Source organism: Homo sapiens, chromosome 3 (assembly GCF_000001405.40).
Source record: "Homo sapiens chromosome 3, GRCh38.p14 Primary Assembly".
Classification (NCBI taxonomy): domain Eukaryota; kingdom Metazoa; phylum Chordata; class Mammalia; order Primates; family Hominidae; genus Homo; species Homo sapiens.
The window spans coordinates 40,564,160-40,586,351 of record NC_000003.12 but is presented as its reverse complement, the minus strand read 5'-3'; the positions used below and the strand labels follow the sequence as shown (position 1 = coordinate 40,586,351).

Sequence of the window (22,192 nt, the reverse complement as noted above, 5' to 3'; positions counted from 1 at the left end):
GACAAGGACAAGCGCAGATGGTGGATGGGACTCCCCAGGGTCTCCCAGGGAGTTCATGGCAGTCAGACTAGAAATGGATACCTCTTCTCCTCGTTTCTCTTCTGTTGTTCAGAACTAAAGCTTAAGCGGGTGGGGCTGAATCGTAAAGGCTTCTGTGAATGTTGGTAATAGAGGGTGAAATGATGCTGCAGGAGGGGAAGGGAAGGACAAAAGTCAGCAAAAAGCCAGGTATTGAGACAGCCATCACCTGAGGATCTGCCTCCCAATGGGCAAGTCTGCCCCTCAAAGACTATGAGGCAGTGATGATACTGACCCCTGAACTCCAGGACCCCATTGTTCTTCAAAGGAAGATGCAAGGCTGGCCCCTCCCCCAGCTGCTGAAGACCATGCTGAGGGGCCCAAGGGAAGAGGAGGCCAGTGGCTGAGCATTGTAGAGCAGTGGGTAGGGAGGGACCTTTGGTCTGCACCAACAATGTGACTGTAACGCTCACTTGCACAAGTGTGACTCAATTCATGCTCTCATGAAACTGTGCTTTAGGCATGAAGCTGGGGGCCTATTTTGAGACATCAGCTGCACAAACTTTAACCTGTGGCTTTATACTGAGAGAGGTAGTGTAGGGCTTGCAGCCTCTGGTCCCAGGAGAAGATAAAGGAGACTCGAGCAGTTGTCAGAACCTATGGTGCTCTCTCTCTCTCTCGTTACCTCTCGCTCTCTCTTGCTCTCTGTCTCCATTTGTTGCCACAGACCACCGGGCTCAGATGAGAGTCTCTCAACAGATGCAGGGAAGAGAGCAGCTGTTCACGGCAGTGGCCCTCCTAGTGCTTTGAGACTCCTCACAGCCCCACAAGGTTCCTTTGGGCCCTCTCAGAAGTCTGGCCACCCAGCATGAAAATCTCCCAAGTCAGAGCCTCAAGTTTTAAAGAAAGAAATTTACAGATGTGCAAAGAGAAAAGAAAAGGGGCTGTTTGGTCCCTAGCAGAGGACCGATTTTATTGGGAATTGTTTGACCAAGGAAACATGAACCAAACATACCACCAAGGAAAACATACTGCCAAGGAAAAATGAACCAAACATACCACCAGCACCCTAGAAACAGACTTTTTTTAATCTTCGTATCAACAAGATTTCGGCCTTCAATCATCTCAAATTAAATGGAACCTAAGCAGCAGGAGTTACTGTAGTTACGTAGGGGAAAGACAGGAGACAGGGGAAAAAAAAAGCTTTGCATCACGTGACTTTTATGCTGCAGAAACTTAATGAGAAACACACCACATTTCCAGAACCCTCTTTCTAGTCAGGGCTCCCGCTGAGATAAAAGGTCACAAGAAGAGAAGGAGGGAGAGGGAGGGAGCGCCGGCGTGGAGCAGGGAGGCACTTTTACTGCAAAGTCGGGCCCAAATTTCATACAAGCTGCTATCGGGTCTGATAGTCTAGACTGATTATCTTCTTTGAATGCCAGATGTGAAGGGCTTGTATAAAAGAACTGCAAACATTACCCATTTAAAAACAAATCGACCCAAGCTGCATTCACTGCGCAAAGGAGAACTTTCCATCCCAGACTCTGCAGAGAGAGCCAAGCAGCCGGGCCAGGAGACCTGGCCTAGGCGGTGCGTCCCGCTGCTGCCCCCTGCAGGCCATGAGCCTCAGGCTGGCCAGAAAGCAAGCCAAGTCCGGGGGCCAATGGCTCAGCCAGGCCTCTGCTCATCAGTGGAGACTTTTTCTGTCCATCCAGCTCAGGGTGGCAGGAGAATGCTCCTCTACAAGGTGCCAGGCTATAGCTGGAAGACTGAGCTGGGCCTGGGCCTCAGCGTTACACATTGTCCCGTTCAACCATTAACCCTGCAAGGTAGAGACGTCAATCCCTTTCACAGGTGAAAAATTGAGAAGTTAAGAGATTTACCCATTGGATGCAACTGGCTTATCCAGTTTTGGTATTGGACACTGGTGCTCCTTCCATGGCCCTATGTGCGGTTGGCCATCAACACCAAGATCCTCTCCTCAGGGAAGATGGAATGATAGAACTGCAGCTCCAGTACCCAAACTGGACCATACCAGCCCAGAAGACACCCGGCCCATAGGGCCAAGCTAGGAGTAGGGCGGCAGGAGGTATCTTCCCATCCCTCAAGCTGGGTGTGGTCCTGGATCAGGGGTCTTTACCCCTGCTGGGCAGTTAGGAGAGGCTTCTTGATCCCAGGCCCCTGCAGAGTACCAGGCCCTGAGCCAGGGCTCAGGAAAATTTGTAGAGCGAGAAACATCCTGATCACACTATGGCCTCTGGAATCTCCTGATGGCCCTGCATTTCTCCACCAGCCCTGGCCGCTTTGGGTTGTGTCTCCGCACACAGGGACTGACTCTGTAAACACCATGCCAACATAACCTCTGACCAGGCACTTCCCATTTGGCCGCAGCTACAACTCAGTGCCAGACACTCAGGATCAGTGACCTTCAGAGGGGGCTGGGCATGCAAGGGCCTTCCAAGTGATCTGTGTTTAATCTAGTGTGAAGGACCTCCAGCCTTGCTGCTACAGGCAAGGCCAGCGCTCATCTGGGCCCTCTGGCCTGCCTAGTCCTGGCTGTCACAGGAACGACCAGACACTCCTGAGGGCGTTTGGTTTTCTGCCAGCGTTGTTAGTTTAAGACTCTGTAGTGTACCTTTGGGTTTTCCTTCCTTTTCTGAACCCTCCTAAGTGGCCCACTTACCTCTCAAGCAAGGCAAAGCTGCTTTGCTGTCTTCCACCTCTGGAGTTTTTTTTGTTTTTTGTTTTTTGTTTTTAAGACAGAATCTCATTCTGTCACCCAGGCTGGAGTGCAGTGGCGCAACCTCAGCTCACTGCAACCTCTGCCTCCCAGGTTCAAGAGATTCTCCTGCCTCAGTCTCCCAAGTAGCTGGGATTATAGGCATGTGCCACCATGCCCAGGTAATTTTTGTATTTTTAGTAGAAACGGGGTTTCACCATATTAGTCAGGCTGGTCTTGAACTCCTGACCTGAGGTGATCCACCCGCCTCGGCCTCCCAAAGTTCTGAGATTACAGGCGTGAGCCACCGTGCCCAGCCCCACCTCTGTGATTTTGCACAAGCTGCTCCCTTGCCTGGAAAATCTTCTACCCCTTCTTCATGTGGCTGACTCGGACTTGTCAGACAACTCTTGCAACGTCCTCCCTCTCCTGCATGCCCCTGCTCTGAGCTCCCACCTCACCCCCACCTGTGTATTCCTATGACGTTTACTTCCCCAGGCAGTTGTTCACCACTGTCCTGTCTTCCCACATAGAGTCAGCTGTAACACGCTCAGCAAAGATTTGGCTGATTCCCTGATTGCTTTTCATCTGCACATGACCACCCCTGTCTTCAGGGACCCAAACTTGCTGCATTGGAAACTGGGACTTGAGACCTGTCTACAGGTCTAAATACTTGCCTTTGGGTTTGTTCTGGGAGGAGAAGTTCCCTTCTGGCCCCACTCCCTCCCCTGGGTGGCCAAGGAAAGGAGCCAACTGTATCATTCCAGTGTGATTTGGCCAGAGGTGCCGATGGGGCCCGGGGTGGGGTGACAGGCCCAAGGAGGTGTCACTGAGCTATGGATCCAGGTCCACCCTGGCTTGTCTGACCCACTAGAGCTTCCTCCTCCTGGAAGGGTTGGCAGAGGTTATTCCTGTATGTAGCTGGGAGCTACAGGAGGGCTCCTCACAGAGCTGCAGTTGCTTTTGTTTTCCCCTGGAACAGCTGCCTGGAGAATCTGGCTCAGAGAAGTTTGTCTATCATTCTTGAGTAAACCATAAGGACAGCAGAACAATGTGTCAGTCATTTACACCTCAATGAAAACAAATGAATAAGATCCAGTCTTTGAATCCCAGATCTTAGGACCAAAGGGGACCTTAACAACCAATGCTCTTTCTGTCTAGCTGGCTTCCTTCTTTTCATTCAGTGCTGGTGCTATAGCTTGATACATTTATAAAACATACCTCCTGCCCCTCCCCCTTTGCACAGCCCCCTACTATTCTCATCAATTTAGAATTTGAGCACTAACCATGAACCTTGTAAAAACAGGCATCCCTTCATGAAATTACAAAAAATGAAAAAGCCCCAGGTCCAATGCCATTTGCTCCCTGCCCAGCTCCTGGATGAAGCTCTGTGACCTGGGAGGCTCCTGAACACCCTTTGGCCCTTTGACAGAAGGGAGGGAGGGTGCATCACGAGCTTCCTTTCTGGCCCAAGGTTGGAGGTGATGACCCTCAGGCAATGAGAAGGCTGCTACCATGAAGAAAAGTGTCTTGCATTTTCTAATTCGCCATGCCCAGTGTGACTTCAACCAACAGCACCCAAATGGATCAATGACAACTATATCCTGGAGGTGTCCCTATGCTTAACAGAAGGTTAATGGTGCTTAGGAGTGGAGGGACCCCTTACTTTTTCCTCATCCCTGCAAAGGCAACACCCACCCTCCCTGCAGCAGGACACACAGAGTAGGGCTCACCCATTCTGCTCTCCCAGGTCCCCTCAATCTTCCTCCTCTCTTCTGCTCCATCCCAGAAGAGAGAAGTAGATGGGGCGTGGAGAACAGCTGGGCCCAAGCAAGGGCCTTGAGGCTGGAGGCGAATACAAAGGGAGGTGAGAACCACAGGGAGAACTACTTTTAAGCCTCCATCTGGTAACAAATGAAAATGTGGAAAGTAAGGCACATGGATTTCCATTGCAGCAACATGTCTTTGAGCAGGAGAGGCCATCTGTGGGTAGTAGTGAGGCCCCTGATTTCAAAGTTTGAAGCAACGAACCTCCATTTCAAGCCCCCTTTGCCACAAACTAGCCTGCAAGAGATATAGAAGCACCTGCCTTACAGGATATGGGAAGATTTCTGAATGACAAAATACTTAGAACCATGCCTCGCACATGAAAAATGCTGTCTAGGAGGAGGAGGAGGCATAAATAGCACAACAGAGGACTTGGCACCACAAGTGGAGCTGCAATAAGCATATAGAGCACTTCCCAGTTTGCAAAGCCCTCTTGATTCTGTTCTTACATGTGTTGCTCACAGCAGCCCTACAAGGCACAAGCTGTCCCCACATCACAACATGAAAACACTGACATTGTGAAATGACAAGAGATTTGCTAGTCATTCACATGGATTTCCCAATGGATATCAAAACAGGGCACCAGGAAAGGAGAAAAAGAGAATAGGTCTGATGAGCCCAAGCAGAATTTTGCCACAAGGAAATTTAGAAAGATGCTTCCTTGCCAGTTGGCATCATGCATGTTTTGGGGTCTTGTAGGGCCAGTGTTGTGTTTTACACATGTGGGAAAAAGGTGAGGTACCATAATCATTTCAAAGTCCAAATACAGCTGTTTGTGTACCCCCACAGATAAATGCAGGCAAAGCAAAGGTAAGAGCCCAGGCTCCTAATTCCAGCTTCCCTGATGGTTTCAGGGCACAGAGACCTCATGGAGCCAACAATGACATTCAGCCCAGGATTTGCAAATGGACCTAGGCAGATCTTAGCAGGCCTGCAAGTGGGATTGTCATCCTGCTTGTGTCCAAGGCCTCCTGCCTCCATCCTGGTTTCTGTTAGAGATGTGAGCACAGTCACCTACCCTCTGTGCTAATGCAGCCTCTGCCAAACCCTTAAACTGAGGGTTTATGCCTGCATCTGAGCTCCACCTAGTGGCAGATGTTGGGCATGGCGTCCAAGTATGCGTTTCCTTTCAGGACCACCCCCCTCCATTTAGAGTCATATAGTGTAAAATAGACACTTTTGACTCAGCACATCTGTGACCTGGACCCTTTGTAACCACATTCATATAACCTTCCCTTTGCTGGTCCCTTAGCTTTATGTATGCTGGGCAGCCTGAAGGCATTAACCTGGCCAATTGTAAACCTAGCCAGAGATTGTGTGAGCGTCCTTCCTACTCCCCTTAAAGCCTTCGGCTCTATGATGTTCCAAAGGCGTGATTTGGGCTGACCTAGCAGCCACATGGCATAATGGAAAGAATACAAAAGTAGGGATCCAAAGACATGAGTTCTAATTCCACCATCTCAACTAGAGAGCTGGATGGACTTGGATAAGTCATCCAAGTGCCCCAAATCCACTTTCCCATCAGTAAAACTGGGATAACAATACCCATCATTGACATCACATGTTGTGACATATGTGCTAAACTGACACGTGATACTTCTCAGCAAGAAGCCAGCATATAATTCAAGAGAGTTTCTACACCTTTTTAAGAAATGGGTAGCAATCTGTGTGCCCGGTTCTTCCTTGCCTTTGCACATGCTGGTTTCTCTGCCAGACGTGCCCTTATCCCCACTCCTCCCAGCTAACTCCTCCCTCATGCACTAGGGTGAAAGTCTTCCCTCACCCTACTTCACCTTGCCTCTGGGCTCCCTTAATATACTGTTAGGGGGTTCATCACCCTTTGTTGTACTCATTTGCTTCTTGTGTCTTTCCCCAACTAAACTGCATCCTCTTGGAGGGCAACTAAACTGTTCACTCTTGTATCACTGCTGCCCAGCACGAAGCCCAATATATGGTAGGCTTTCAATCCTCCTTTGTGTGGAATGACTTAAAAAGTGAACTAAATAAACAAGCAGTACTGCAGGCTCCTGAAGATTCCTCCTATGTATTCTTTCAGAGTCCTACTTGTTTTAGATCTGCAATTCACCTGGAATTGAGTTTGGTGTATGTGTGAGGCAGAGATAAAGACAGACTTTTTATATGTAGATATACAATACACCCAACACTGTTATTTTAAAAAAACAACCTGGTCAAGCACAGTGGATCACACCTGTAATCCCAGCATTTTGGGAGGCCAAGGCGGGCCGATCACCTGAGCTCAGGAGTTTGAGACCAGTCTGACCAACATGGAGAAACCCCGTCTCTACTATAAATACAAAATAAGCTGAGTGTGGTAGTGTGCCCCTGTAATCCCAGCTACTTGTGAGACTGAGGCAGGAGAATAGCTTGAACCCGAGAGGCGGAGGTTGCAATGAGCCAAGATAGCGCCATTCCACTCCACCCTGGGCAACAAGAGCAAAACTCCATCTCAAAAAAATAAATAAAATAAAAAATACAACCTTTCACCACTATACTGTAGTGTCACCTTTGTCATAAATCAGGTGGCTATATAGGTGTTTTTCTGGTTTCTGGACTACCTGTTGTGTCCCATTGGTCAGTTCATCATCCTGCCTCCTAAGGCAAAGACCCTGCTACAGCCCAGGTGTGGTGCCTCACACCTGTAATCCCAGCACTTTGGGAGACCGAGGCGGGTGGATCACAAGGTCAGGAGATTGAGACCATCCTGGCTAACACGGTGAAACCCCGTCTCTACTTAAAAAAAATACAAAAACATTAGCCAGGTGTGGTGGCGGGTGCCTGTAGTCCCAGCTACTCGGGAGGCTGAGGCAGGAGAATGGTGTGAACCCGGGAGGCAGAGCTTGCAGTGAGTAGAGATCGCGCCACTGCACTCCAGCCTGGGCGACAGAGCGAGACTCCGCCTCAAAAAAAAAAAGACCCTGCTACATATTTACCCTGTGCAAATAAATAACAAAATGTAAGCCAATTAACAACTTGATGCAACACCATGCCCACTTGAAAGCCCTGAGCTGTGGCAGTCGAAGGAGGTAAGTTCCAGGCTGTAAGCGGAGGCTACAGGTAAGCAGGAAGCCTAGGGTCCAAACCAGGAGAGGGCTATCAAGGAATAGAAGGTTGCAGCCACCTCTGAGAATCTGTACACCTCATAGGAATGAACAAGGGGTGGACTGTCAGTTTAACAAGGGCCCAAGCAGAAAGGCAAGTTGGGGAACCAAGTCAGGGGAAGCTCAGGCATTGCCTTAAATTCCTGACAGGAACCAAGGGAATTGTGCACTGCTCTGGGCTGAATTCACTGGCCATTACTGCTATGGCATCTGGTTCTTACCCCTACAGGCAGCTCTTAGGGAAGATCTGCTGAGCAGCTCAAGGTATCAGGGGGCTTCTGACAGCTGGGGCTTGGAAAACTGCAGAGAATCAGGAAGAGACAGATGCTGAGAAAGCTTCAATTTCTGTGTACCTTCATCGGGAAACTCAGGTAAGTGAAGAGGTCCCAGGTGGGGACTATGAGGATCTCTGTGGCACCTGGCCCTCCTAAAGGGCCAGCTGTCACTCAGTATCAGGCAAGTATTGCCACATAGAAATGAGGCCCAGGGTTATCAGCTCTTTCAGTTTTCCAAGAGAAGCTGCAAATCCAAACTTATATGCACAATTTTTAAGTACCGGCAGCTAATCTTTTAAAGTTGTAAACACTGTGAGCTATAAAACCCATCTACAGATCATATCTAACCATATCTGATTTAGTATCTAATTGGTGTCTTTGAAACCAATGGAGGGAGAAACAAATTCTGGTATTCTTAAGTCCTGGGTGAACCTACAGTGTTGTTCAGCTATCAGGAGGAGAGTGTGGAAGAGGTGTCCACTAGACCCTAAAAAAATTTACTGTGAAAATGACTGAGAAAAAAAAAAATGTGGTCCCCTGCTGGGTTACTTTTCTGAGTATAATTGCATTTTAATAATCTGGGACTGATTCCAGAGGTAATAATTGACTGGTTCTCACATTGGGTTTGTGTTGATTATTTTGGAAAATGTGTCAAAGCTTATTTTATTTTACAATCTTGTACTACTTTAATGAAAATTCATTACCAACAGAGCTTTCTGAACTGGAAATGAAGAAATTGAAAATACGCATCTGTGTATAAGCAGGCATGCTAAATAAATAAATTCTTTTTACATGAGCTATCTGGCTCATTTTGATGAAAAATGAATAAGGGAATATTTCAACCTTAGAAATAGAACAAAAACACTATGGAAACAGTAGGTAAATGAAACAATATTATTTTAAGGATCATTTAGGACAACTACGGTGTAGAAGGAAAAGCATTAGGTTTAGAATCTTAAGATCCGGGTTGAGTCAAGATTCTGCTCTTTAGGGTAAATCACTTTACCTCTAGAGGATGGAATTATATTTCCCTGCCCCACTGGAGTCCTTTGTCCTTTGTCCACAAAAGTGAGCAAAGTGAATATATCACTACTAGGTGAAACTTTGAGAGCTTGTGCAATCTTTGCTATGCTTTTTTTTTCCTTTTGCCACTGTATCAGCAATGTGGTGCACACTCTGTTAGCCAGAGTTCTACAATGAAAACAACAAAGATACGGAACAGAATTCCAGACCAACTCATGATGGACGTATATATGGGCAAGAAATAAGCCTTTGTTGTTTTAAACCACTGAAATATGGAGAGATGTTTGTTACTGCAGCATAGCCCAGCCCATTTCAACTGGTAATTGTCTGTAAGCTTCAGATTCCTTATGTTAAAATGAAATTTGCAAACACCTACCTTAAGGCATAGTAGTACATGTTATTTCACTTAGCAATCAGTATACTAATTTACTCATTTTTCCATTTCATTTTTCATTTTATATATGAGGTATATAGTAAATATCTCATGTTTTCTATTCCCCATTTTATATTTTACATGCAATAATATGTTGATGTGTTCCTTACATTATGTTTCTTTAAGTCAGGAATCCTGTCTTTTCATCTGTGTATCTCAAATAACAAGGACCAAAAACCTTAAGCTAACAAACGAGCTGTATTTCTCTTGGAAGAAAAACAAATTTTGAACAGGTTGCATAATGGGTTAAAACAGGTTTATTCCTCATTAGTCATCAAGTAAATGCAAATTAAAAACCACAATGTGATAATTCCATGCCAGTTGGAATGGAAAATCAAAAAGACTGGCAACACAAAATGTTGTTGCGGACGTGGAGCAAGTGGAACTCTCATACACTGCTGGAAGGAGTATAAAAATATACACCCATGTGAACAAGAGTTTGGCAGTTCCTTCAAAAGTTAAATATACACTTACTATATGATCTAGTCATTCCACTCTTAGATATTTATCCAAGATAGTTAAAAATGCGTGCCCACTGTTTTAACCTATTGCTGTGTAACATTACCACAAACTTAACAGCTTTAAAAAGCTGCATTTATTGGCTCACAGTTTCCGTGGGCCAGGAGTTTGGGCCTGGCTTAGCTGGGTCCTCCTCATTAGCACCTCTCATAAAACTGCCAACAAGGTACCAGCCAGGGCTCAGGTCTCATCAGAGGCTCAACTAGGGAAGGAACCACTTCCAAGCTCATATAGTTGTTGGCAGGATTTGGTTTCCTGCAGACTCTCAACTGAGGGCCTCAATTTCTCACTGGCTCTTGATCAGAGGTCACCCCTAGCTCCGTGTCATGTAGGTGTCTCCATAGGGAAGCTTATTTCATAGAAGCCAGCAGAAGAGTCAACAGCACCTGCTAACAGGATGAAAGATACAGTCATATGTGACATAATCATGGAAATGACATCCCATCACCTTTACCAGATTCTGTTAGTTAGAAGGAGTCACAAGTCCCACCCACACTCAAGAGAGGTGACTGCACAGGGTCAAGAACAACAGGAGACAGGGATCACTGGGAGACATTTTAGAGACTTCTGCCACACTCACATAAAGACCTGCACACAGATGTTCATAGCAACTTTATTCAAAATAGTCCAAAACTGAAAACAATTTAAATGCCCATCAACAGGTGAACAGATAAACAAATTACCTGACACATAATGGAATACTACTCAGCATAATAGGGAATGGACTATACATACACACAACAGCATGAATAAATCTCACAGACATAATAATAAGTAGAAAAAAGAGTCAGATACAAGAGCACTCATACTGCATTTATACAATATTCAAGAACAGGCAAAACCTCTCTATAGTGATAAATATCAGAACAGTGGCTGCCTCTGAGGGGTGAGTATTGACTGGAAGGGAACAGGAGGGAGCATTCTGAGGTGATGGAAATGATCTATGATCTTGTTTTGGTGATGGTATATGACTGTATACAATTGTCAAGACTCATCAAATTCTTAAGATGTGCATTTCATTGTCTGCTAATCATATTTCAATAAAAATAAGGCTTACTCTCCTGCCATTATAGAAGAGTTTTTTTTCTTATGAATATTTATTCTGGTCATCAGCTAGAATAATTCTCATTTTTAAATTTTCACTTCTATTGAGAGGACTATGATACAATCCATAACAGCACAGGGAAAAATGTTGGCACAACAAAACATTCATGAAGATATTTTGCAATATAATCTATAGACCTTTTTGACTATTATCGAAAAATAATAGCCAAGGGGGAGGGCTGTGCTCAACAATGGCTCCAAAAGTGTAAGGCTGTTTCTACTATTATTATTACTGTTGCTACTCTATTTATTATTAAATACAGAGCATAGACAGCATTTCAAGTTGGTATGGGCTTTTGCACCCAAAGCAAAATACATCATTCAAGACACCATAAGAAAGATATCCTAAGCTCATTTTCCTGCTACAGAAAGAGACAGCATTTGGCAGGGGCTGGACAGAGTCCAATCACTGAATGGCCCAACCGCAGCGCGGAACCGCAGCCCAGCTTGAAGGGCCAGATGCAAAGGGAAGACCAAAATGAAAGCTATCAACAGAATAAAAGAACACACAGGCAGGAAAACAGCAGGAGGGCTGCAGAAATAGAGGCAAGCACAGGGAAATATACCAAGAACATGAAATGTGCTGTTACTGATTTGCATGCGGGTTGGGTCAATACACACTTTTTTTTGGAATAGAAAACTAAAATGGGGAAAAAATGTTTTTAATGAACAAAAAAGATGATATGCAGGCATATTCATGGTAACCTGGGAATGAGACCAATCTCTTGTAGTCAAAATCTAATACCAATAAAAAGAAAAATTGGGTATATGAATAAAGATGCATTTTAAACAAAGAGAAGAAAGGGTATTTGGGGTTGAGAGATATTACGTACCTTAAGGCAGGCTAGTTGAATCTTTAAGCATAATAAATACACATAACTCCTTATAAATGTTTCTTAACATGCGTAGTTCAGGGGGCTGAAAACCCAGAACTAAAAGACAAAAGCAGTGGAAAACAGGGTATTTTTCCATCCAAGGTCCTTGATGTTGTCATTTATTCCACATACATTTATCAAGCCCCAAGTGCTGTGACAGCATCCTCCCTCCTCCCTCATTCTCTGTGCCTTGCCCTTCCCCAGAACCCCACTAAGTGTTCATAAATTCTCTCCTCCCACTCCTCACTCCTCTGCCACAAGCAGGCTCCCACCCCTCTGCCTATTCCTGACTCAGCCTGGGACACAACTTTCAACACCCGCATTAGACTGAAAACCAGAATGTGCCACAGCATTTGTGCTGATTTCTTTCAGGTATAACAATTTAGGGTCTTTGTAGACCCGTCATCTTTTAGAGTTACCTACTGAAATATTTATAAACAGAATGATATGATGTCTGAAATTTGCTTCAAAATCATATTGAGGAATATTACATACCAATAAAATATTACAACTACGTGGAAGAATCTCACATGTTGAATAAAGAAACTAGACTCCAGGCAGGGTGTGGTGGCTCACACCTGTAATCCCAGCACTTTGGGGGGCCAAGGCGGGTTGATCACCTGAGGTCAGGAGTTCGAGACCAGCCTGACCAACATGGAGAAACCCCGTCTCTACTAAAAATACAAAATTAGCTGGGCGTGGTGGCAGATGCCTGTAATCCCAGCTACTTGGGAGGCTGAGGCGGGAAAATCACTTGAACCCGGGAGGTGGAGGTTGCAGTAAGCTGAGATCGCACCATTGCACTCCAGCCTAGGCTACAAGACCAAAACTCCGTCTCAAAAAAAAAAAAGAAACTAAACTCCAAAAAGAGTACATACTGTATGGTTCCCTTTATATGAAGGTCTAAAACAGGCAAAAACAACCTTTCGAGATACAAGTTAGAATAGCAGTTACCTCGCAGGGGAAGGTAGTGAGAGAAATGAGAACAGTGGCTGCCTGTAGGTAATGGGTAGTGATTGGAAGGAAACAGGAGAGAACGTTCTGAAGTGATGAAAATTTTCTATATATCTTGTTTTGGTGGTGGTGCATGGTATATACAATTGTCAAAATTCATCAAATGCTCAAGATATGTGCATTTCATTGTATGTTAATTATATTTGAATAAAAACTAAGTTTGGTCTCTTGCCATTCTAGTAGATTGTTTTTTGCTTTTTTGTTTTGCTTGAAGAACACTTATTTTGACCATCAGTTTTCTTTATGATAATGCTGTGGAAACTCTCCTTATACATAAATCTCTGTATAAGCCCATAAACATTAATTCTCTTTCCAAGTAAACAGATGAATGAAAATAACTGTACTGTTACTTGGCTGTGAGAATAATTCCATCCTGGAGCCACAGGTGCTTAGAAAAGCCCAGGAGAACTTTGTCACTGATCGACCATCCGATTTGAGGTCTTCTTTCTGAATTAACACTTTTTCATATGATGTATGTCAGGGGACATGCAGAACCAATGAATATAAAACAAATGATTTCTTTAGAAAGAAGTAAATGTACCACATGTAAGCAGCCAGAGAAAGCCCAATCCCAGCCATCCCCACAAAGCCAGGGACCTCTCTGCCCTTAATCGCCAGGCACTGGAGGAGCACAAGGTGGGTGTGGCCTGTGCATTTCCTTTACTAGTCAAGATTGGTTGCAAACAAGGAAAGCCCCTCCTCAGGAAAGAACTTCTGCCTTGGAAACCAAGCACATTTTGAAAATAAGCATTCAGTAACTCCGTACAGAAATAAAGGCTTTTCCCTGTCCTGAGATTAATGGTGGATTGCCTGAGGGTCACACAGTCAAGGTTTATCTGGCTCTGAGTAGCAGGAGAATGTAACCTGAGGACTTACCAGGTTCAGTCTCAGCCTGAATTTATTCTTTCTTTTCTTGGGGTTGCTGATAGCTCTGTTTAAAAATATCTGCAGCTTTCACCTGACTGGTTGGTTTGTCAATCTACTGAAGAACTAGTTGGAAGTTTGCTGGCATTCTGCAACTATTTTACACGCCAAGGATAATTTAGTAGAATTGTAAAAGTTGATTCAGTTTCTGTCTCATGCTCCGCTCATTATACAGATATATATACCTATATAGATATATCTATATATCTATCTATTATCTATATTTTAAAATTAGGGTGATAATTCAGCCAAGAATAGGTGAAAGTTTGTGAGGAACAGGTTATTCACATACACCCTAACTATTGCCCACAAAAGTACTCATTAATTACAAAAGAAAAAAATAGTAATTTAGCAGTGCAGAAACCTGATGGACACCACCTTATCCATTCTTGTCATGGCTAATGGGACAGTCTCACAATGTATGTTTCATGGTGTAATACACTGAGAAGGACACAATATTATTTCTAGGATATTCTGTCCAAAACATATAACTTGAATTCAAAGATAAGAAAACATCAGACAAACCTAGGTTAAAGAATACAGAGTCATGAAGAACAAAGAAAGGCTGAGAAAGTGCTCCAAATTAGAGACTAAAGAGATATGAAAGCTAAATGCAATGTGTGTCCTGGCTTAGAAATAAAAATAGCTATATACAGGATATTCATGGGACAACTGGCAAAACTGGAATATAGACAGTCAATTAGAAAATAGTATTGGATCAATGTTAAATTTCCTAAATTTGATAACTATGTTGAGGTTACATAAATAAGCAAATGTTATTGCTCTTTGGATATAGTCATGGAAATATTTAGGGGTGAAGGGGTGAAGGGACATGATGTCTGCAACTTACTCTCAAACCATTCAGAAAAAAAGAGAAAAAAAAGCTGTGTGTGCGTGTGCGTGTGTGTGTGTGTGTGTGTGTGTGTGTGTGTGTGTGTGTGGAGAAAGAGAGAGAGACACCAAACTACGGAAATTGTTAATAATTGTTGAACTAGGTGTGGTGGCTAATGCCTATAATTCCAGCACTTTGGGAGGCTGACAGGGGAGGATTGCCTGAGCTCAGGAGTTCAAGAGCAGCCTGGGCAACATAGCAAGAACCATCTCTACCAAAAAAAAAAAAAAAAAATTGTTAAAAAAAATTCAAGCCAGCAACAGTGTATTAAAAGAAAAAATTAACAATAATAATGATTGGTGGCTGAGCGTGGTGGCTTATGCCTTGGGATGCCAAGGCCAGCAGATCACATGAGGACAGAAGTTCAAAGCCAGCCTAGACAACATGGTGAAGCCCTGTATCTACTAAAAATACAAAAAATTAGCCAGGCGTGGTAGCGCACACCTGCAGTCCCAGCTACTCAGGAGGCTGAGGCACAAGAATCACTTGAACCCAGAGGCAGAGGTTGCAGTGAGCCAGGATTGCACCACTGCACTCTAGCCTAGGTGACAAAGCAAGACTCTGTCTCAAAAATGATAATAATAATAATAATAATAATAATGATTGGTGGATCTGTGTGAATCTTTTTTCAAACAAGGTGAAAATGAGGGTGGAGAGTTAAACAGGGTTTAATCCCCTCTCTGGATTACTAGTGTAAACCAGAAATAAGCCTCTCAACTGACTGTATGGACCCCCCTCTTGACCACTGGGACCCCAAAGAAACCTGAAAAACTGGTTCAGGCCATGATGAGAAGGGTGGTGGGAGGTCAGACTTGTCTTATTGTACCTGCCTTCCTCTGGAGTTTAGACACAACTGACCAGCACTAACATTAAAACGGAGATCTTAAAACTGGCAAAATAGATTCCTTGTAGCGGTAAGATACCAAATTCCAACCTGACTCTGGTGTAGTATCAGATGACAGATAACAGGCTTGAAGGAAATCACAGTATTTTACACCAAAATATATTTCTTTGACATATTCTGAAATGGCCCTGCAAAGCTGTCTCTTATGAGAGAAATTTGTTTTCAGTGGAGAATCTCTTTCCCTTACTAGGTATTTTCCAGAGAGTTTGACACCTTTTAAGGTCTGATAAGAGACATTCACCATCTATTCTCTCTGAAGCCTGCTACCTGGAGGCTTCATCTCCGTGGCAAGAACCCTGGCTTCCACAACCTCCTTATCTAAACTCAAGCATTTCTTTATGCTGAATTCAACTCTTCAGGCAGGGCTTAACTCTTTCAACCATATGGCCAATCGAGAAGTCTTTAAATCCACCTATGACCTGGAAACCCCCTACACCCTCTACCCTTGCTTGGAGATGTCCTGCCTTTCTGGCCCAAACTAATGCATAACTTACATATATTGACTTATGTCTTTACCTGTAACTTCTGTCTCCCTAAAATGTGTAAAACAAAGCTGTAACCCAACCACCCTGGCCACACATTCTCAGGACCTCCTGAGGCTGTGTCATGGGCCGCAGTCCTTAACCTTGGCAAAATAAACCTCTAAATTGATTGAGACCTGTCTCAGATACTTATTGGTTTACACTAGCATACCAGCAAAGTCAGAAGACCTCTCAGTTGGTTCCTGAGGAATAAATTGAACTCTATTTTGGAATAGAAATAAATTGAACTATGTTTTGGGTCTATGCGTGTCCAGCTAGATGAGTTGAAATGACTCAAAATGTCTGTTTCCATGATTGACCTGTGTTCTCTCACATGACAATTGTCAATATAGGAATGAAAGATAAAAAGACAATTTTCTCAAAATCTGGGTCATGTCAAATAAAGTTGTAAACAATGCCTAATTTTGCCCCTTTCCCCACTAATAAGGAAAGACCAAACTAGCTGATTCTCACATTATGTCCCTCCCTTATGCTAATAACAAACATTTACCTACCAGTATACAAGTCTATACAATATACAAGTTTAATTTTTAAGATTTTTTTTTTTTTGCCGTATGTCCTTAAAGTAACTCTATAATTATGGGAGCAGTTTCTTCAATTTATAAACGAATATCTGTAGAAATTATTTATCTGTATTTTAATTTACAGTGAGAGCTGTTTTACAATTTGTAGTTCATGAGCCTCTGTATATTTACTGTTTAATCTTCTGGTGACATTAAGTTGCAGCTTGAATTATGATAAAGGCAATAACTATTTATACAAAGATGTTTTAGTAATTTACTTATTTAAAAAGCACATGTTGAAACCCTTAAATATGAAACTGCTCTTGCAAAATTAAGACAGTAAGAGAAATCCGACAGTAGACTTCATCTTGCTTCTAACCTCCAAGCTGTCCTTGGTCATTCCTGGGTGTAGACCAAGCCGACTTTGGGAGAAATTGAGTTTATAGTTTAACCTTAAAGCAAGGATAATAACAGCCCTTCCCAAAACTAAACTGCCTCTGTAAAACTAATGAAAGTCCACAAGGTTAGAATTATGAGAAAGGCCTGAATTCTGCTAACATATAGGCTTAAACCATAACCAACTGCTGTTCCAGAATTCACAAGATTTGTGATTTTCCCAATTGCTTCTGTAGGTAACATCCCTGGTGTAGAACCCATAATTGGTTTTGGAGATGTTTGCAGACTGACCCCACCCAGGCTTGTGACTCATTACTCAGCTGGTCCTGTGGCCCCACTCAGAGACAAACTCAGCACACAAGGACCATTTTCCACACCCTGTGATTTCATCCCAAACCAATCAGCATTCCCCATTCCCTAGTCCCCTGCCCACCAAACTATCCTTGGAAACCCCTAACCCCTGAGCCTTTGGAGAGATTGATTTTCATTAATAACTTCATCTCCATGTGGCATGGCCTGTCTTGTGTCAATTAAGCTCTTACTTTACTGCAGTGCCCTGGTTTCAGTGAAATGATTTTGTCTGTGCAGTGGGCAGGAAGAACCTGTCAAGCAATTACAAATTTGAGGGCTCATCTAGGATCCACCTTTGTGGGTGGGTGCCTGCTCATGGTTTGTTAACCTCCTGCTGGTATGATGGACCTGAATGTGAGCCCTGGTGGCCACTTATTTCTCTTGCACTGAAGGCCATCTCTGCTGCTCTCCCTATCAGTAAGGTGATGTTGACCATGGTGCTTGAGCCTAATTGCAATGCAATAAAGAACTAGTTCCTGGAAAGTTGTCTTTTTTTTCTTTTTTTTTTCCTTTTTTGAGACAGAGTCTCGGTCTGTCACCAGGCTGGAGTGCAGAGGCTTGATCTCAGCTCACTGCAACCTCCAACTTCCGAGTTCAAGCAATTCTCATGCCTCAGCCTCCCAAGTAGCTGGGGTTACAGGTGTGTGCCACCACACCTGGCTAATTTTTGTATTTTTAGTAGAGATGAGGTTTTGCCATGTTGGCCAGGCTGGTCTCGAACTCCTGGCCTCAAGTGATCTGCCTGCCTCAGCCTCCCATAGTGTTAGGATTACAGGCATGAGCCACCACTCTACATCCTAGAAAGATGTTTTTAAACTGGTCTGGTGAGTGTTCTAAGCCCAGCTAGCATCTCTTTCCTTCTCCCAATTAGTCCGGCTCCTATGGGAGTCTCAGTTTTTTAGGATGGGTCTCAGTTCAATGCCTTCAGGGGTCTTGGTTCAGCACTTATGGAGGGCCTCAGTTTGGCTCCTGTGAGGACTCAGTTTGGCTCCTTCCAAGGTCTTAGCTGGCTGTCCCTAAATAGTAGGATGAACCTCAGTTTGGGAAGATTTCTCCCCATTTAGACAGAGAATAGGAGGTTAGATTGGAAGAATCCTCTTCTGGTCTGGAATATTGGTTTGGAAGGCTTTTTTGTTTGTCTTTACCTTGCTGTGCATGTTTGTATGTGTGGAGAGGATTTCCCATGGAAATTGCTGACAGAAGTCCAGCAGGCTTTCCTAGTTTGTCTGATCAGTCACATTCAGTGAGCCCTGAAGGAAGCTCAACAGGCATAACTCAACGGTGACCGTCCACTCTTCCATCTTACCTGGAGGCCACCCATTGATACTCCTGGTCAGAGGTCATCCCACCCCACTTAGTGGATCAAAGACAGCAGGAACCAACAGGGGCAAGTTTGAGCCTTGCCAGGTTGATACTTGGGTGCTGAGTGGGGTGACTGGTGTCTGTGTTTTGTCACGTATATTTTGTTTTGGCCTGAATGGAAAATGTTAATTCACTTCCCCATGCAGCCAGTTGGGCTGCATCATGCAAAACTGAGAGGCTTTTCCCTATGTTTCCATGAACAGAAAAAGATGATTTTCTTTTGTAATGCAGCTTGGCCCCCACTGCTACAGTATAGCAAACAGGGTCTCAAAACCACTCGGAGAAAGGGAACCCAGAAACCTGGCAAGTTGGCAAAAGGGTAAGGATTTCTTACAGTCAGGCTTCTGACTTCTCTCTCTCTGTGCAAACTGGCTGAGTGAATGGTAAAAATCACCGCTTGTCTCCTCTGCAAAGTTTTGATTAATGGGAAAAAGGATTTGTGTGACAAATCTTAGGTTGTAGCAAACCTGGTGTACTTTCTGCTATAAATTTGTCCTTCTGTGTTATTCTGTCATAAAGAGGGGTACTATGGGATAAAACGCTGCTGTAGGTCCCTTATAAGCCCTCTCTTCAAGCTAGCTCTGAAGACTGGTCAGTTACAAACTTTGCTTCAGGTCCCTGAAACAAAAACCAGATGAGGTTTCCCTTTCGTCTTGTTTTATGTCCTTGAGAGCTTGACTTTGCAAACGTGTGGGAGTATTCTCTCTTTGTCTCTACCATCTGGAAGGTAGAAATTTTCAGGTTCATGTCAGGCAGCCAGTCTGAAGTTACCGAGTGTCTGAAATGTGTCAGTACACTCTTCATCCCAAATGTGTCAAGCACTTAGGTGAGTTTTGTCTTAAAAGGCCCCATCCTATGAGGCTTTTGTCATTTTCATGCGCATCTGTGTGAAGAGACCACCAAACAGGCTTTGTGTGAGCAACCAACATGGCTGTTTATTTCACCTGGGTGCAGGTGGGCTGAGTCCGAAAAGAGAGTCAGCAAAGGGAGATAGGGGTGGGGCCGTTTTATAGGATTTGGGTAGGTAAAGGAAAAAGGGGGGTTGTTCTCTGGCAGGCAGGAGTGGGGGATCACAAGGTACTGAGTGGGGGAGCTTTTGAGCCAGGATGAGCCAGGAGAAGGAATTTCACAAGACAATGTCATCAGTTAAGGCAGGAACAGGCCATTTTCACTTCTTTTGTGGTGGAATGTCATCAGTTAAGGCAGGAACCGGGGATATGGATGTGTACGTGCAGGTCACAGGGGATATGATGGCTTAGCTTGGGCTCAGCGGCCTGACATTCCTGTCTTCTTATATTAATAAGAAAAATAAAATGAAATAGTGGTAAAGTGTTAGGATGGTGAAAATTTTTGGGGGTGGTATGGAGAGATAATGGGTGATGTTTCTCAGGGCTGCTTCCAGCAGGATTAGGGGCAGTGTGGGAACCTAGAGTGGGAGAGATTAAGCTGAAGGAAGATTTTGTGGTAAGGGGTGATATCGTGGGGTTGTTATAAGGAACATTTGTAATTTAGAATTATTGGTGATGACCTGGATACAGTTTTGTACGAATTGAAAAACTAAATGGAATAAGAGAAGGAGAAAAACAGGTATAAGAGGTCTAAGAATTGGGACGATTCAGGACATCTGATTAGAGAGCGCCTAAGAAGATTCAGCATAGTCCTGCCAGCAAAGATTATTTATTTACTTTAAGAGTTAAGAGTGGCAGTTTGGGGATAGCACCAGGAGATATCAGCTGTGATGGCTTGGAGAAACAGTGTAAACCGGCAGTGTAAACAAGAGCAGGGCATGTATGAGTAGTTCAGAACGGTGAATAGGAGTATGACTAGACAGAAGATAGTAGGGATGACAAGTTTTTTGGGGGCACAGTCTAAGTTGGTCTAGTGTCTGCAATGAGACTGGGGCCTAATAAAAAGGAGCATCTATACAGGAGCTCAAATGGGCTGTACCCTGTAGCATTCTGAGGACAGGTCTGACTTCTGAGAAGAGAAAGTGGTAAAAGTATTGTCCAGTCCTTTTTAAGTTGGTGGCTGAGCTTGGTGAGGTGTGTTTTTAAAAGACCTTTAGTCCGTTCTACTTTTCCTGAAGACTGAGGACTGTAAGGGATATAAAGGTTTCACTGAATACTAAGAGCCTCAAAAACTGCTTGGCTGATTTGACTAATAAAGGCTGGTCTGTTATCAGACTGTATAGAGGTGGGAAGGCTAAACTGAGGAATTATGTCTGACAGAAGGAAAGAAGTGACTGCGGTGGCCTTCTCAGACCTTGTAGGAAAGGACTCTACTTATCCAGTGAAAGTGTCTACCTAGACTAAGAGGTATTTTAGTTATCTGACTCGCATGTTGAGTAAAGCTAATTTGCCAGTCCTGGGTGGGGGCAAATCCTTGAGCTTGATGTGTAGGGAAGGGAGGGAGCCTGAATAATCCCTGAGGAGTAGCAGAATAGCAGATGGAACACTGAGAAGTTATTTCCTTGAGGATAGATTTCCACGATGGAAAGAAAATGAGAGGTTCTAAGAGGCAGGCTAGTGGCTTGTACTATAGCATAGCCTGCCTTTGCTGGTGTGTGGCGATTAGGCCTGGTGGAACTGCCATTAATAAATCAAGCGTGATCAGGGTGAGGAACAGGAAAGAAGGAAATATGGAGAAATGGGGTGAATGTCAGGTGGATCAGAGAGATGCAGTCATGAGGGTCAGGTGTGGTATCCAGAATAATGTGGGAGGCCGGATTGAAGTCCGGGCCAGGAACTATGGTAATTGTGGGACTTAACAAAGAGTGAGTACAGCTGAAGGAGCCGGGGAGCAGAAAGTATATGCATCAGGTATGAGGAAGAAAATAGATTTTGGAAGTTATAAGAAATGTAGAGAGTAAGTTGAGCATAGTTTGTGATTTTGAGGGCCTCTAAAAGTATTAGGGCGGCAGCAGCCACTGCACGGAGACATGATGGCTATGCTAAAACAGTAAGGTCAAGTTGTTTGGACAGAAAGGCTACAGGGTGTGGTCCTGGCTCTTGTGTAAGAATTCTGACTGCACTAACCATGCCTAGGAAGGAAAGGAGTTGTTGTTTTGTAAGGGATTGAGGTTTGGGAGATTAATCGGACACGATCAGCAGGGAAAGCACGTGTGTTTTTATGAGAATTATGCTGAGATAGGTAACAGATAAGGAAGAAATTTCAGCTTGACTGAAGTAATGGGGGCTGTCTGTGAAGCTTTGCGGCAGTACAGCCCAGGTAATTTGCTGAGCCTAATGGGTGTCGGGGTCAGTCTAAGTGAAAGCAAAGAGAGGCTGGGAAGAGGGGTGCAGGGGAATAGTGAAAAAAGCATCTTTAAGATCGAGAACGGAATAGTGAGTTGTGGAGGAAGGTATTGAGGACAAAAGAGTGTATGGGTTGGG

At 44.1% G+C, this 22,192-nt stretch overlaps 1 long non-coding RNA gene across 2 annotated transcripts, besides 1 other annotated feature; it reads right to left on the bottom strand.

The window, feature by feature from the left end:
• Nucleotides 1,894-2,394: an enhancer, noted in NCBI's record as "H3K4me1 hESC enhancer chr3:40625449-40625949 (GRCh37/hg19 assembly coordinates)". NCBI's record gives its function as "activates a minimal SCP1, AML or CMV promoter by ChIP-STARR-seq in naive H9 embryonic stem cells {active_cell/tissue: H9 hESC(naive)}" and the evidence as "EXISTENCE:reporter gene assay evidence [ECO:0000049][PMID:30033119]".
• LOC124909368 (uncharacterized) lies at nt 9,654-12,024 on the bottom strand. 2 transcript variants are annotated; one of them, XR_007095878.1, is made up of 2 exons: nt 11,871-12,024; nt 9,654-10,322 (listed from the first exon to the last, which is right to left on the bottom strand). It is a non-coding gene; the product is annotated as an uncharacterized LOC124909368 (long non-coding RNA). The 2 variants fall into 2 exon arrangements; XR_007095877.1 differs by having other exon boundaries at nt 9,654-10,319.
• Nucleotides 12,025-22,192: the final 10,168 nt, after the last annotated feature.